This window comes from Homo sapiens, chromosome 10 (assembly GCF_000001405.40).
Source record: "Homo sapiens chromosome 10, GRCh38.p14 Primary Assembly".
NCBI lineage: Eukaryota > Metazoa > Chordata > Mammalia > Primates > Hominidae > Homo > Homo sapiens.
Window position 1 is genome coordinate 30,877,092 of NC_000010.11, and position 15,854 is coordinate 30,892,945.

At 35.7% G+C, this 15,854-nt stretch overlaps 1 protein-coding gene across 56 annotated transcripts in view; it reads right to left on the bottom strand.

The window, feature by feature from the left end:
- The window catches only part of ZNF438 (zinc finger protein 438), a 187,780-nt gene that overhangs the window by 32,460 nt on the left and 139,466 nt on the right, over positions 1-15,854 (bottom strand). Inside the window, exon 1 of one of the 56 annotated variants that reach the window (XM_017015863.3) lies at positions 5,851-6,019. The exons of the other annotated variants lie outside the window; for them this stretch is intronic. Within the exon in view, the coding sequence (XP_016871352.1) occupies positions 5,851-5,852 (2 nt within the window). The 5' untranslated portion in view covers positions 5,853-6,019. Of the gene's footprint in view, positions 1-5,850; positions 6,020-15,854 lie in introns of those variants that run through there. 56 annotated transcript variants of the gene reach the window in all.

Consider the following 15,854-nt stretch of genomic DNA (forward strand, 5'->3'; position numbering starts at 1 on the left):
ATTAGAAAGTAATTGAGAGAGCATGTTAATGCATACTAAATATAGAAATTCTAAGCTGTTTTTTAAAGTTTGTTTTATAACTATATGAGTAATAAGAAATGGATTGAGCTATTAAGAATTGATGTTTTTATTTTCTTCTCATTTTTCTACAAATAGGATTTTATTGAATGTACTAGAATGGGCTTAGAGACAGATGCAATGACACATCAGGGGCCTTAGTCACACTTCTGCTCTCATGGGGTCATGTGTAAGTAGGCAAAGTTAGGATTCTCTGAAAATGTACTCTCTGATAATTGCTTCATATACTTTAAGAAGAAATAGCTAACATGCTTAACAGTATAAAGGTAATATAATTGTAATATAATCATTTGATGAAATATAACTCAGTCATTAAAATGCAACTGTGAAGATTATGTAGCAACATAAAAAATGTTAATGATGCGATGCACTGGATAAACATGGATGAACATGCTAAATGATGGACACCAGCATTACAAATACACAAAAAATAAAGGCACAGGAAAACACATGGAAGAAAATATGTCAATATATAAATTTACAGTGTGTTTGGTGATGGAATTACAGGTGTTCTCCCCCATTCCCCATATTTTAGCTATTTTCCAAATTGTGTATAATGTAGTGTTCCATATTAATAAAATATCTGAATAAGACAATTCAAATATTTGAAAAATAGAAGTAAATTTTTTTATAAGTTCTTAAACAAAAAAATGTTCCTAAGCATGACACCAAGTACAGAGCCCATTAAGGTAAAGACTGATGAATTTTTCTATTTAAAATTTTAAATATTTTTAAAGTAAGAAAATTGGACAAAATTAAAAGGCATGATTCCTACTTCTAGCCAAGATGGAGTAACAGAGACCAGATTCATGCTTCTGCCTGAAACAACCAAAACACAGACAGAACATATGAAACAATGTCTTCAAAACACTGAACATCAGCGATGGAAGCAGGAGGCAGAGAAATTCTAGGCAGACAGGGGCGGGTCCCCAGTGAAACAGCACCTTCAAGTCAAAGTAGCCTGAAACCTGCTGCCCAAGGTGAGAACTTCTATCCCTGTTTGCCTGTTCTCTCCTGATTGGTTCTTTCTGAATAATGTCTTTTTACCAATCGAATGTTGCCTTTTCCAAAACTACCCATGGCTTGCCCTGCACCCCCATTCTGTGCCTCTAAAGACCCTGGACTCAGTCAGTAGAGGAGAGAAGCAGCTTGACTGGAGAGAAGCAACTTGACTTCAGAGGGACAGCTGGACTTCAGAGGAAAGATAGCTTAACTTCAGAGGGACGCTCTGACTTCAGGGAAGATTACCTGACCATCCCATCCCCCTTTCCAGCTCCTCTCTCCACTGAGAGACATCCATCGCTAAATAAAATTATCTGCCTCCACCATCCTTCAAGTGTCAGCATGACCTCGTTCTTCTTGGACACCACACAAGGGCTTGGGACCCACTGGATGCAGGTACCCAAAAAAGGCTGTCACACTAGCCCTTTGCCCTTGCTGGTGGAGTGTAGACACCCCACATGACAAGACAAGGGGCCCACTGAGCTGATAACACTGCTGTCCATAAACGGTAAAGCTAAGCTAAGAGGGCATTGTAGCATGCCCTCTGGGATTCTGGGGATCACAGGCACTCCCACCTGGGCACCGCCACAGGGTGTGCATGGAGCTTGCTCCTGCCGGCACCCAAAGCAGCCAGCCTGAACCCACTCGCTTGCTCACGTGCTCCCTCCTGCAAGGGGTTGAGTGTGGCAGGCTGAGTAAACAGGGCACCCCCATTGCAAATCTGACAAAGGGGTCGAGAAAAATCCTGCATCATCAGGTCAAGAAAAACTGATCCCCGAGAGCCAGGAAACAATTGCAATGAGCCCTATTGAAACAACTGCGATGAGCTCTATGTGAGGACAGATCCTTGCAGAGATTTCCAGAATACTGGAAAAGAGAGCTACACACAGACACAGCACAACAGAGAGGGTCCTCGCTGGGTTATTTACCTTTGTAATGATCAGCACAGGCAAGTGAGGAAACACCCCAAGACCAGGGAAAGGTCCAAGGTACACTACAGTCACAGAAGAACGGGAATATTGCCTGTTCCCATTAGCTAGGGTAAAAAAACTCATAATCCACAAAGGAATGGGTAGAGTACACAGAAGGGTCTTGCCTTAGTAGGGGGGAATACTTAATTCTAAACTGTGCATTTCTCTGGTTTCACGTAAATCTTAAAGCAAGACATGAAAGAATCAAACTGTTTCAAACTATTTTAACTATGTACCAGAAAAAATCACAAAATATTTATAGAAATACAAAAATATCTACCACCCAATAAAGTAAAATTCATAATGACTGACATCTAATAAAAATTATCAAGCATGCAGAAACGCAGAAAAATATGATCCATAATTTAGAAAACAATCAAAACTGAGCAGGACTGACATATATTAGAATTAGCAGACAAGGACATTAAGTGTGTAACTAGATTTCATGTGCTCAAAATGTTAAGTACAGGTAGAAAAGACATGAAAAAATTCAAATAAAATTTCTAGAGATAAAAACTATAATGTATAAGATGAAAAATATACTGCATGAAATTAATGGCACATTAGACACGTCAGAAGAAAATATTAGCAAATCTGAAGGCACAGCTATTGAGACTACACAGAATGGAGAAGACAGTAAAATTAAAAAAACAAAAAACAAAAATCAGAATTGAGAGCATCAGTGAGCTGCAGGCCAACTTTAAGAAGATTAACATACCAGTATTTGAAGAGGGGAGAGATGGAAGGGCAAAAAAATTATTTTAAGAAAGAATGGCAGAACATTTTCCAAATTTGATGAAGCTGTGAACACACAGATCCAAACATCTCAAAACACTGATTCACGAGAAACATGAAAACATATTAAGGTATATCATTGCCAAACTGCTCAAAACTGGTGAAAAAAAAAAGTTTTTAAAGCACCCAGAGAAAAAGACACATTGCATATAAAGGAACAATGATAAGGATAACAACAGATTTCTTACTATTAATAAAATGATGCAAGTCTGGCTGGACGCGGAGGCTCACACCTGGAATCCCAGCACTTTGGGAGACCAAGGCGGGCAGATCACCTCAGGTTGGGAGTTTGAGACCAGCCTGACCAACATGGAGAAACCCTGTCTCTACTAAAAATACAAAAATTAGCTGGGCATGGTGGTGCATGCCTGTAATTCCAGGTACTCGGGAGGCTGAGGCAGGAGAATCGCTTGAACCCAGGAGGCGGAGGCTGCAGTGAGCCGAGATTGTGCTATTGCACTCCAGCCTGGGCAACAAGAGCAAAATTCTATCTAAAAAAAAAAAAAAAAAGAAAAAGAAAAAAACAAAAACAAAAATAATGCAAGTCTGAAGACAATAAACAATAATAACAACTGTAATCTAGAATTCTTAGACCTCTAGGCCCTGATGTCTTCTCTGGTGACTTCTACTGAATATTTAAGGAGGAAATTATACCAATTATATATAAATCCTTCCAGAAAATTGAAAAGGAGGAAATGTTTACTATCTAAAAAGGCCGGATTATCTAGATATCAAAACCAGACAAATCCAGACATAGAAAAGATTCCTATGTCCCAATATCCCTCATAAGCACAGATGCAAAAGTAATAAACAAACTACTAGTAAATCAAATCCAACAATATGAGAATACGTCATGACCAAGTAGAGATATCCAGGAATACACAACTGGTTTAACATTCAAAATAAATGCAATTTACCATCTTAATGTTATAAAAGAAAACTACATGATTATTTAAACAGACACAAAAATTGTATGTGATAAAATCCAACATCCATTACTGATTAAAAAAAAACAACCCTTTATAAATTAAGAATAGAAAGGAACTCCTCACTCTGGTGAAACACATCTTATGAGAAACCTAAAGCTAAAATCATGCTAAATAATGAAAGACTGAATGCTTTCCCTCCAAGTTCACAAACAAGAGAAGGATATCTATTCTCACCACTTCTATTCAACCCTGTATTGGAAGTTCTAGCCAGTGCAATAGAGCAAAAATAAATAAAATGTATTCAGATTGTGAAGCAAGACTTAAAATGGTCTTTATCTGCAGATGACATGATTGTCTAATTAGAAAATTCAATAGAATCTACAAAAAAAGCTCTTCTAATAACTGAGTTTAGCAAGGTTACACAATACAAAATCAATATGCAAAAATAAATTATATTTTTGTATCCTAGAAATAATCAGAAATTGAGACAATAAATCAGAAATTGAGACACCATTTATAACAGCATAAAAATGAAATAATTAAGGATAAGCCTGGCAAAGTATGTGAAAGACCTATACACTGAAAACTAAAAAACACTCATAGAGAGAAATTTTAAAAGATCTAAACAAATGAAGAGATATATACCACATTCAAAGGTTGGAAGACTCGATGTTGTTAAAATGGCAATTCTCTTCAAATAAATATATAAATTCAATGTGATCCTAATCAAAATCCCAGTAGACTTTTTGTAGAAATTAACCAATTTAATTTTTAAAATTCACATGAAAATAGAGCTCAGAATAATCAAAATTTTCTTAAAAAAGAAGAAAGAAATCAGACTAATGCTACTTTAGTTTCAAGAAAGAGATATATAGATCAATGCAACAAAATAGAGAGTCCATAAATAAATCTACACAGATATGTATTTTCATGAGAGTCCAAAGGGAAAGCTGTGGAACATGAATAGTCCCTTCAACAAAGGATGATGCTTTCTCTGTATGCAAAAAACAAAAAAGAACTTTGAGCCACACCTCACACCATATACAAAATTTGAAATGCATCATATACCCAAATGTAAAACACAAAACTTCTGAAATATAAAACTTCTAAAAGAAAATACTGTGCCCTTTAGTCAGGCAAAGGTATCTTGGACATGGCATCTGAAACATAATCCATAAAATAACAAACTAATATGCTAAACTTCATCAAAATTGCAAAATTCTGCTCTTCAAAAGATATCAATAAGACAATGAAAAGACGAGCCATAAATGGGAGAAACTATTTGAAAATAATCTGATAAAGAAATTGTATATAAAAACTCTCAAAACTAAATAAGAAAACAAATCTCCCAATTTACAATGGGCTAAAGAGGTGAACATACACTTCTCCAAAAAAGATAACTGGCCTGCAAATAAGAACATAAGAAGATGTTCAACATCACTGGTTATTAAGAAAAGATACACCTGCCTTAGGATCCAGCTAATCCCTTCCTACCAACCCAAGAGAAACAAAAGCAAATGTCTATACAAAAACTTGTACAAAGAATGTTCACAGCAGCTATATTTGTAGTAGTTCCAAGCCAGAAACAACCCAAATGTTCACCAACAGATGGAATATATAAACATACAATGGAACATTACTCAGCATTTTAAAGGAACTGTTGACCTACATCACAATAGAAATGAAGAAACATGATGCTATACGAAAGAAGATAGACATTAAAGAGCAATACTCTATGATTCTACTTGCATAAGATTTTAGAGACTATAAACTATAGTGGCAGAAAGCAGATCAATGGTTGCCTGGGGACAGGGGAGACAGAGAAGGTTGGGGGGACAGACTCTATAAGCAGACCTGAGAAACAACATATACCCATCCATCGAGGTGAAGAATATATTCATTATCTTGATTATGATTAAGGTTCCAAGGGTATATACGTATATCAAAATTTATCTCATTGTACTTTAAATATATGCAATTGACTGTATGCCAATCGTATCCTAATATAGCTGTTAAAAATTAAAAGGTAAATATTGGGAAAAAATTTAAAAATTCTAATAGACATACAGACATACATTTATTCATTTAACAGATGTTGTTTGCAGTATTACTATGCACTCTGGAAAAGATATACTGGACATGGTTCTTGTATTCTTGTCTAATATAAAAGAAATAACAATGAGATAATGCTCTACTATAAAAATGAGTAAGGACTTAAAAAATTTATAGAAGACAACATTTAACAAGTAATCATCAGAAAGAATGTTAAGACTTACTAAAAATCAAAGAATTGCAAATTTCTAAAATAATACTACTTTTTTGCCTCTAAATTGGCAGAAAAATGATAATACAAACTTTGGGGGAAGTCTGAGGAAAGGGGTATGCTCATTTACTTCCTGTATTATAGTTGGTACAAACTCTCTGGCAATGTGCATCCTGAGCTTTATAATTCTGCATTCCTTTTGGCCCAGACCTTCCTTCCTTCCACATGCAGGAATTTTGCTCAAAAAATCATCATTGTAATGTGTAAAGCCATCATCATTATCATCATCCTCATTACCTTTAAAGAAATGTTAAGGGTGCTATTTAAAATACACAAAAAATGTAAAACTTAGAATTAGGGTATATTTTTATAATAAAGCCATTTTTAAAAATGTTTCTTAAAATATTAAGAAATATAAAAATTGCTTATGACATGTTTTTGTATAAAGGGGCTGGTTATTGCCATATGCTGTGGCTCACGCCTGTAATCCCAACACTTTTGGGGGCAGAGGTGGAAGCATCGCCTAAGCCCAGAGTTTGAGACCAGCCTGAGCAACACAGTGAAACCCATCTCTACAAAAAATACAAAAAACCCATCTCTACAAAAAATACAAAAATTGGCCAGGTGCGTATCCATAGTCCAGATACTCTGGAAGCTGAGGTGGGAGGATCCCTTGACGACAGGAGGTTGAGGTTGCAGTGAGCCCTGACTGTGCCACTGCACGCACTCCAGACTAAGTGACAGACTGAGACTCTGTTTTCACTCCAAAAAAAAGTGTTAGTTACAGATCAGTATGGTTCAGTTATTTTTTTCATAACTCATGAGAAAAATTACCCAATATTAAAAGTATGCATCTCTCAGCGGGGCATTAAAGTGCTACATAATCTTCCTTTTTATGCTTATAAAGTGATATTACAAAGTTTCCCCAATGAATAAATACTGCTTTTGCAATCAGAAAAAAATGTTTTTATTTTCATTGTTTTGAAATACTATGTTAGAAGAGGAGTGCCATCAAAATAATTTTAACTGTATTCCTAATATCTTGGTATTTCATGTAGGACACCCACTCAAATGAAGCTGTATTGTTTTTTGCTGTGACACAAAGCATTGCTGCATTTAATTCTATTATAATTATTAAACATGAATAAGTTATATAATAAATATACCTAACACTTATTAAAAAATTTTTGGATAGTTACAATATTGCATCCTCTGATTTGATCCTCTGATTTGACTGGATAATAATATAAATATGCTAGAGGAAAATATGCATTAAATAGTTACATAAAATCTAACAGTATTTAATAAACCTTATACGATTCCTTGAGTAAGTGTGCATTTTTACTCAAGGAATCATAGTATAGCACTAACAGCCACTGCATCCTTCATAGTTTATAAGGAAAAACCTCTGAAAATTATAACCTGACTTTTCTTAAATTGCTGAAAAGTATATTAAATAGAAAAATCTATCAGAAAGGAATAAAATTAAAGAATGCAAACAGCAAATACAATCAATGATAGCAAGATCTAATACAATGTGCTTTATAAACCAGTTACATGATTACTTTTTATTTTAGTTAATAAGCCATATTTAAAGAGAGTTGATTAAAAATGAAAATTAGGTGAATTGGTTACTTGACAAAGTGACAGCCTGATGTAAATGAAAATTTTTCCATTTATTCCTTGTTGAAGAAATCTAAGGCAGACACTGCTTTGTCTTTGTTATGCTGCTTTGTTAAGGTTCCTAAAAATAAATGTAGATAAAGAAACATAAGAGAATAACAGAAAATAATTTGCTCCATGCTCAACATGCTGATTAACTTTAACCCATGTTGTGAGTACATGTATAAGTGCATGCTCTTGTATGTGTATGTGGCCACCAGTCACAGAGTTGCGATGTAGATGTCAATCTAGATTATTATTTCTAGGAAACTATTTCCTAGGGAATAAACATGTCATATATCATCACACTGACATACTGTCATTCAGATAAATGCCATAATATAATAAATTTGGCCAGGATAACTTAAAACATGCAAATATAAAAAAGGTAATGAGTCTTTTAATGTCTCAGAGCTTTAGGTAATTCATAACAGGCTTTTCTTTATACATTAAGATAATGTTACTAACCTACTTTGATTGGGCAGCTGCTCTTTTGACAGGCCGTCTTCCAGTTTTGATTCTACTGTTAGGCTGTGCCTCTTGATTTTAAAATGTAACAGGTTGATAATCACACAAGATCTTATTTTCAGCCTAGAACCAGTCAGTGAAGCCATGGATGACAGCTTCACCTAGATTGTATTCTACACTGTAGCTCTTTTGCAACAAATGCTACTATGTGCTAGACCTACCACTAGGTAATTCACAAATACCTCATCCACATATGAGGATCTGCACTGTTATCATCAAGTTAAGAAACTGAGGTGCTCAAAGAAAATTAAGCATCTTGCTCAAGGTCACTCAGATGGGCCAGAATTCATTCCCAAGGTGTGTGTCATTTCCATATATACACTCCTCATGCTCTCCTGAGTGCAGCTTCTCCCTCTCCCTCTGCCCCTCATCCCTTTCCCATGCATACATGTACCTATAGACAAGGGTGTTCTGATGGAAATCAATGTAGAATGTCTCTGTGCAACTATTAAAAATAAAGGAAAGTCAGTAAAACAAAGAATGGCAAGGACAAAGTAATAGGGAAAAGTGAGTTTTATAAAAAGCTGGGAAAGGAACGAACCTGGGAAATAAAAAAATTCAAGGGGAGATGCTAGCCATCTTCAAATATCTGAAGAACTGTTATTTTAGAAGCAGGATTAGAGGAATCCTACGTAACTCCAGTGGACAGGACTAGGACCAGTAAGGAAGACAAAGTTACAAGGAGGCAAATTTCAACTGGATATAAGAAAGAGCTTTCTCATGATTACTGATACTCAACTATGGACTGGATGCTATATAACTTCATCACTGAAAAACCTGAAGAAGCTGAGTGAAGCCTTTTATTGTTAACTATCAAAATAAATACATATTAGTATTCCTTAGGAATATGGCAGGAAAGAACTCCAAAATGTTGTATAAACTCAGACACCATATAACTGAAAATGCCACCTTTTTCTTTTGCCATAACATGAAAATGGTTATGACATATGGAAGAAAAATAGGAACTGCCTGGATGAACTTGTAATTCTTAAGTATTCAATGCTGCTCTTTGCCTTTATATACTTAGGTGTTGTTTGAAAATTTTTAATGCACTTGAGGATGAATTTTCCTGGCTTGTTTTAAGTAATTTCATGTACCCATTTACAGATGCCCCTTCAACTTATGATGGGGCTATATACTGATAAACCCATCCTAAGTCTTGAAAATAGCATAATTCAAAAATGTGTTGAATACACCTAACCTACCAAACGTCGTAACTTAGCCTACCTTAAACATGCTCAGAATACTTAAATTAGCCTATAGTTAGGCAAAATCATCTAACACAAAGCCTGTTTTATAATAAAGTGTTGAATATCTCATGTAATTTATTGAATACTGTGCTAAAAGTGATAAACAGAATGGCTGTATGGCTAGTCAAAGTACAGTTTCTACTGAATGCACATGGCTTTCGCACCATTGTAAAGTTGAAAAATCTTGAGTTGAACTAAGGTACATCAGGGACTGTTGGTCCATTTCATTAACTTTTTTTGTTTTTTTACTTTTAAAGTAACGTTATTGAAGGATAATTTACATTCAACAAAATGCACCCCACTTTAAGATGAGCTTTGACAAATGTATATACCTTTACAGTGATCACTGTATTAATCATGGCTTTTTGTTAAATTTTATGATGATTTGACATCTTAGAGGACTTGCTAGAGAGGGGAAGATACTGCCCCTTCCAGGGCTAGCTAATTCCTATATATTGCAAATGACTCCCCTGTGAGCGTGTCTTTCATACGCAAACCAACCAATCCAAAGCCCATATCCTCAATCACATCCTTTATCTAACTAACACACCAAGCCAATATTTCTCCAGCCTAAATCACTGGAGTGAGATGGACTACCTTATAGGCCAGGGACCACTGAAATTATTCAAGCTAGCCAATGTTAAACAGCTTTTCATATCCTACCTTGTCTTTCCTGGGGAAACTACAACAAAGGCTCTGGGCCATGCTTTCCCCTGGCTCCTTCTGCCTCCTGACTGACCCAGGTGCTTCTCCCTGTGGCTTTGAATGGTATGCTGCGCCCCCTCCTCTAAGGGACTGTAAGTAATAAACTCTTTTTTTTTGAGACGGAGTCTCACACTGTTGCCCAGGCTGGAGTGCAGTGGTGAGGTCTCGGCTCACTGTACTCCAGCCCAGATTCCTCCTCCGGCTCCCGGGTTCAAGCGATTCTCCTGCCTCAGGCTCCTGAGTAGCTGGGATTACAGATGCCAGCCATCACGTCCAGCTAATTTTTTGTATTTTTAGTAGAGACGGGGTTTCACCATGTTGGCCAGGCTGGTCTCGAACTCCTGACCTCCTGATCTGCCCATCTCGGCCTCCCAAAGTGCTGGGATTACAGGCGTGAGCCACCGCGCCCGGCCTAAACTCCTCTTTCAAAGGCAGTTGTCTCCTGTCACTTTACCATACCTGACTAAAACAAACCCAAGTACATTTTAAAACAATCACCCTATTGAAAATATATAATATCATCTCAAAAGTCCCCTTGTGCTCTTCTGTAATAAATTTCCACCCTCACCTATGGCCCCAGGCAATCACTGATGTTTTCTGTCACTATAAATTAGTTTTGCTTGTCCTAGAATTTCCTGTCATTTCATATACATCAGACAGTAACTATTCACTTATTATGTGTATCAGTAGACCATTCCTTTCTGTTGCTGAATCATATTCCATTATATGAATATAACACAATTTTTAATCCATTAACTGATATGCATTTGAGTTGCTGCCAGTTTTTGGTTATCATGAATTAATATAAATATAAATGTGTGTGTCCAAGTTTCTGTATAGATAAATGTTTTAATATCTCTTGGGTAAAAACCTGGGAGTGGAATTATTAAGTGGTCTATTAAGCACGGACCACTTAACTTTAGAAGCAATTGCTTGTTCTCCATAGTGGTTGTACTATATTTCATTTATTTAAAAAAACTACCTCTTCTAAGCAATGATGGAATTTATGTTTCTCAAGAGCAAGAGAACCCAAATACCTTCAGGCCCACTTTAGTTATATAATATTATAAACACACACACACACACAAACACACACATTTAGCTTTTATTTTAGGTTCAGGAGTACATGTGCGAGTTTGATATATAGGTAAACTCATGTCATGGGAGTCTGCTGTACAGATTATTTTGTTACCCAGGTACTAAACCTAATACCCAATAGTTATTTTTTCTGCTCCTCTCCCTCCTCCCACCCTCCACCCTCTACCCTCAAGTAGGCTCCAGGGTCTGTTGTTCCCTTGTGTCCACGTGTTCTCATCATTTAGCTCCCACTTATAAGTGAGAACATGCAGTATTTGGTTTGCTGTTCCTGCATTAGTTTGCTAAGGATGATGGCCTCCAGCTCCATCCATGTTCCTATAAAGGGCATGATCTCATTCTTTTTTATGGCTGCATCGTATTCCATGGTGTATATGTACCACAATTTCTTCATCCAGTACCACTGATGGGCATTTTAGGTTGATTCTATGTCTTTGCTATTGTGAATAGTGCTGCAATGAACATATGTCTGCATATGTCTTTGCAGTAAAATTATTTATATTCCTTTGGGTTTATACCCAGTGATGGGATTGCTGGATCCAATTGTAGTTCTATTTTTAGGTCTTTGAGGAATCACCACACTGCTTTCCACAGTGACCAAACTAATTTATACTCCCACCAACAGTGTATAAGCCATTTCCTTTTCTCTTCAACCTTGTCAGCATCTAACATGCACACACATATATATACAATAATATCTAATAGAAGCTAATAGTACATAAATCCTGACTAATAATAGTACTCATCATTTGCTCAATTGTAATAACAGTATTCTTCATTGGCTCAACTGTAATGCTTATTCTTATCTCAATCTGTCCCATTTCAGAAACAAATAAAAACAAAATTCTCAAAATGTTACTAAAGCTTTAGAGGAGCTAAAACTTAATCTACAGAATAAATTTTAATCCACATAGTAAATTCTTAATGCTTATATTGATACTTGCATTAATACAATGTATCAATGTTTGGCAATCACCTTCCTTCCCTAAATGGCTGCATGCTGCTAACGGGTTTGATTAAAAAATACTCCCCTCCCCTCTTCCCTCCTCTCTTCTCTCGTCTCCTGAGTCTCACTCTGTCACCCTGGATGGAGTGGCACCATCTTGGCTCACTGCAACCTCCACCTCCCGAATTCAAGTGATTCTCCTGTCTCAGCCTCCCCAGTAGCTGGGATTACAGGCGTGTGCCACCACATGCGGCTCCTGTTTGTGTTTTTAGTAGAGATGGGGTTTCACCATGTTGGCCAGGCTGGTCTTGAACTCCTGACCTGAAGTGATCTGCCCACCTCGGCCTCCCGAAGTGCTAGGATTATAGGTGTGAGCCACCGTGTCCGGCATCAACACATATTTCTGAATGTCAGTCATTGAACTAGACTCACCCTTAATTTTCAGGATCATGTTCCTGCCCAATCTCAGGTATGCAATGAGTTAAAAACCTGGGGAACTGAGTGGGGAGATGTACATTTCTAACTGAAACTTCTTACTGTATGATCTTGGACAAATCATTTAATCTTTTTTTCCATTTCAGTTTCTGCTCATAGAAGGTTAGAGATAAAATACTTAACTCTTTTTGCTGGAGAAAGGATTAAACTGGATACTACATGCTGAAAATACTTTGTAAAAAAATTACTCAAAAAACAGCATATTACATTACATGTTAATAAAGTTCTCCAGAATTCTTTACAAAGAAAGGTTTTATTATCTTTGGCATTTCCAAAAAAAAAAAAAAAAAAAAGAAAAAAAAAGAAATGTACTAGAATATACTTAGAAGTCCAAAAAACATTATTTCCAATTGTATGATCTAATCATTGACTGTTATAAAATGCATGCACATACAGGCACCTGTGTTCCTTAACATGTGTTGCACATATGACTGAACTTGGTAGATTAAGAATGTTTAAGAGGGCATTTTTCTGCCTCAATAAAAATCTATTAGGAAAATATGTTCTAGCCTAGATCCTTATTTTTCCTTCATAGGTTTTCTATTCATTTTCTTCCAACTCATCTGGTTCTAACTACAATTGCAAATTTATATTTTTAATTCCCAGGTTCCAGGGTGAAATGTTCTCTCCTTCCTACATATCTCTAAATGGCTACCTCCAAACTCAAGGCAGCTCCTGCCTCCAAATGTGCTCCTTCTCTATTTTCTAAAGCCATTGTCTTTGCTCTATGGGCACCTTTACTGCCTTAGGTCAGGTCCTCACTGCTTGTTGCCTGTATTACAATAGCTCCTAAATTGTCTTCCTGCCTCCAGTCCAATCTATTCTCTCTGATGCAACTAGAATAATCTTTCCATTTTTACTTTGCAATCTAAAAAAATTCAAGTCAAGTAAACATTTCTACACAGCTTATTATTTTGAAAATGCAATCATGTCCTCTTCCTCAGAGACATGCACTCTCAATTCTTAGAGTTGATTCTTCCAGCATTTAGACCTCCATTATCGTTAATAACATGCTTATAATTTCACTTCTTGATTGTTCAATTTTAGGCATTATCAACTGATGTCCCACAATGGAGGATGAAGATTTACTTTCTCTCTCATCAATAAAAATGTCGGATAATTTTTGTGGGTACGCAATTCCAGGTTGAAAATTAAAGGCAATATTCCACTGTATTCTGGTTTCCAATGTCGGTGTGAAGAAATCCAAAGCCACTGTGAGTAGTTCTTTGTATATAATTTGCTTTTATTGTGGAAACAATGTTTATAAACTTCACAGTGAAGTGTCTCAGTCTATTTTCTTCCACTTTCCAAGTGTTTGGTGGGGCCTCTTAATCAGAAAATTTGTGCATTTCAATTCCTGGGATATTTTCTTCAATTATTTTTCTAAGATTTCCTCATTTACTTTGCTCTGCTCTCTTTTTTTCCCCCTTGAATTCCTATTATTGAAATGTTGGGCTTCCCTGGCTGGTTATGCTTTTCTCCTCTTTATTATGTTTTGCTTTCTATTTATTAATTTTTGCTCTTTCTGGAAAAATTCCTTAACTTTACCTCCCAGTGTTAAAAATGTGTTCCATCTGTGATTTTTAAAATTTGAAGCAATGTCTTATTAATTCTGCCATTAATAAACTTTTCCGTAACTAAAAGTGACAGATAATTAAGTTTATTTGATTTGTATAGATTGCTTGGTTCTGTTTTTAGAAGGACTGCAGCACTCTTAAAATAATTTAACAAATTTATTTTATGTAAAAGTAAAAATTGTCCTAGTCTCTTGAATTTATCTAACATCAGGTTTGGGGGCCTTTCAGATGTATCAATATTAAGTTTCACTAACTAAAGACAACAAGTCCTAGGAAACACTGATTTCCAATATTATCTATAAATGCAATACAGTGACTATGCTGCCATAGTGCATTTTAGTTAAGTCTAGAAAGACTCACGTTTGTGGCAAATTTTAACAAACAGGCCTATCCTCCGTTTTCTTATTTGTTCAAATGTCTAGGATACAGATATAAGAAAAAGATTTGAGTCTTTCTACATCAAGCAGAACATCCTTGGAATTTCTAGCCTGGATTTCCAATGCTAACAGAATGTTCAGAAGGCATTCAGGCCAGTGAAGTTACCAACACAACAAAGATGAACGCTTTTCAAAAAAGAATTGCATTATTTGCTAATAACTGATACTTAGCAGCAAAATAAAAACCATAAAATAAAGAGGCTGTCATTTACACTTCCATAATATAGACATGTATTGTGAAATTGTTCTTTATTTTGTTTTCCTCAATCAATCTGGCTGGCAGGGCTTTGATCAGTTTGGATTTAATTCACTGCTTTTGAAATGATCACATTTCCACCATTTTTGCTGGGGATACATTCCAAGATCCCCAGTGGATGTCTAAAACTGTGGATAGTACGAAACCCTATATATACTGTATTTTTTCCTATACATACATACCTATGATGAAGTTTAATTTATAAATTAGGCACAGGAAGAAATTAACAATAACTAATAAGAAAATACAACAATTGTAACAACATATAATGTGTGAATGTGAACACATATGTAACAACATACAAAGGTTATGTGAATGTGGTCTCTATCAAAACTCTATCTTATTGTACTGTATCTCAGGTAACTGAAATGAGAAGAGAAATCACAAATAAGGGAAGACCATTGCATTTATATATTAAGAATTTACTTACATTGCTACAGTCTTCAAAAACTTTTTTTTAACATTCTGTTTGTATATTGATTAAAAATATGAATACCAGTCCAAAAAAAAAAAGTTCAAGCACTAAAAAAAAGAGAATAAATTGAAAAATAAGTCTCCTTCTCATTCTATTCCCCCAATTCCCCTCCTCAGAGGCAACGGCTCAACAGCTCTTTGCACCTTTCTGGGCACCCTTTCAGAAATGGTTTTATGTTTACAGAAACTAACACATAGAAATAAGCTCTGTCCCCTGTCCGTATTTCCATACTGAAGCAGATTATACATGCTGTTCTTTTTTCACTTAATATATTTTTGAGAGTTTGCTATCTCAGCACTTATAAAGCATCTTCATTCTTTTTAAAGACTGCATAGTATTTGATTGTGTGGAACCATTATTTTTTAACCCACTGGTTGACAATTAGATTGT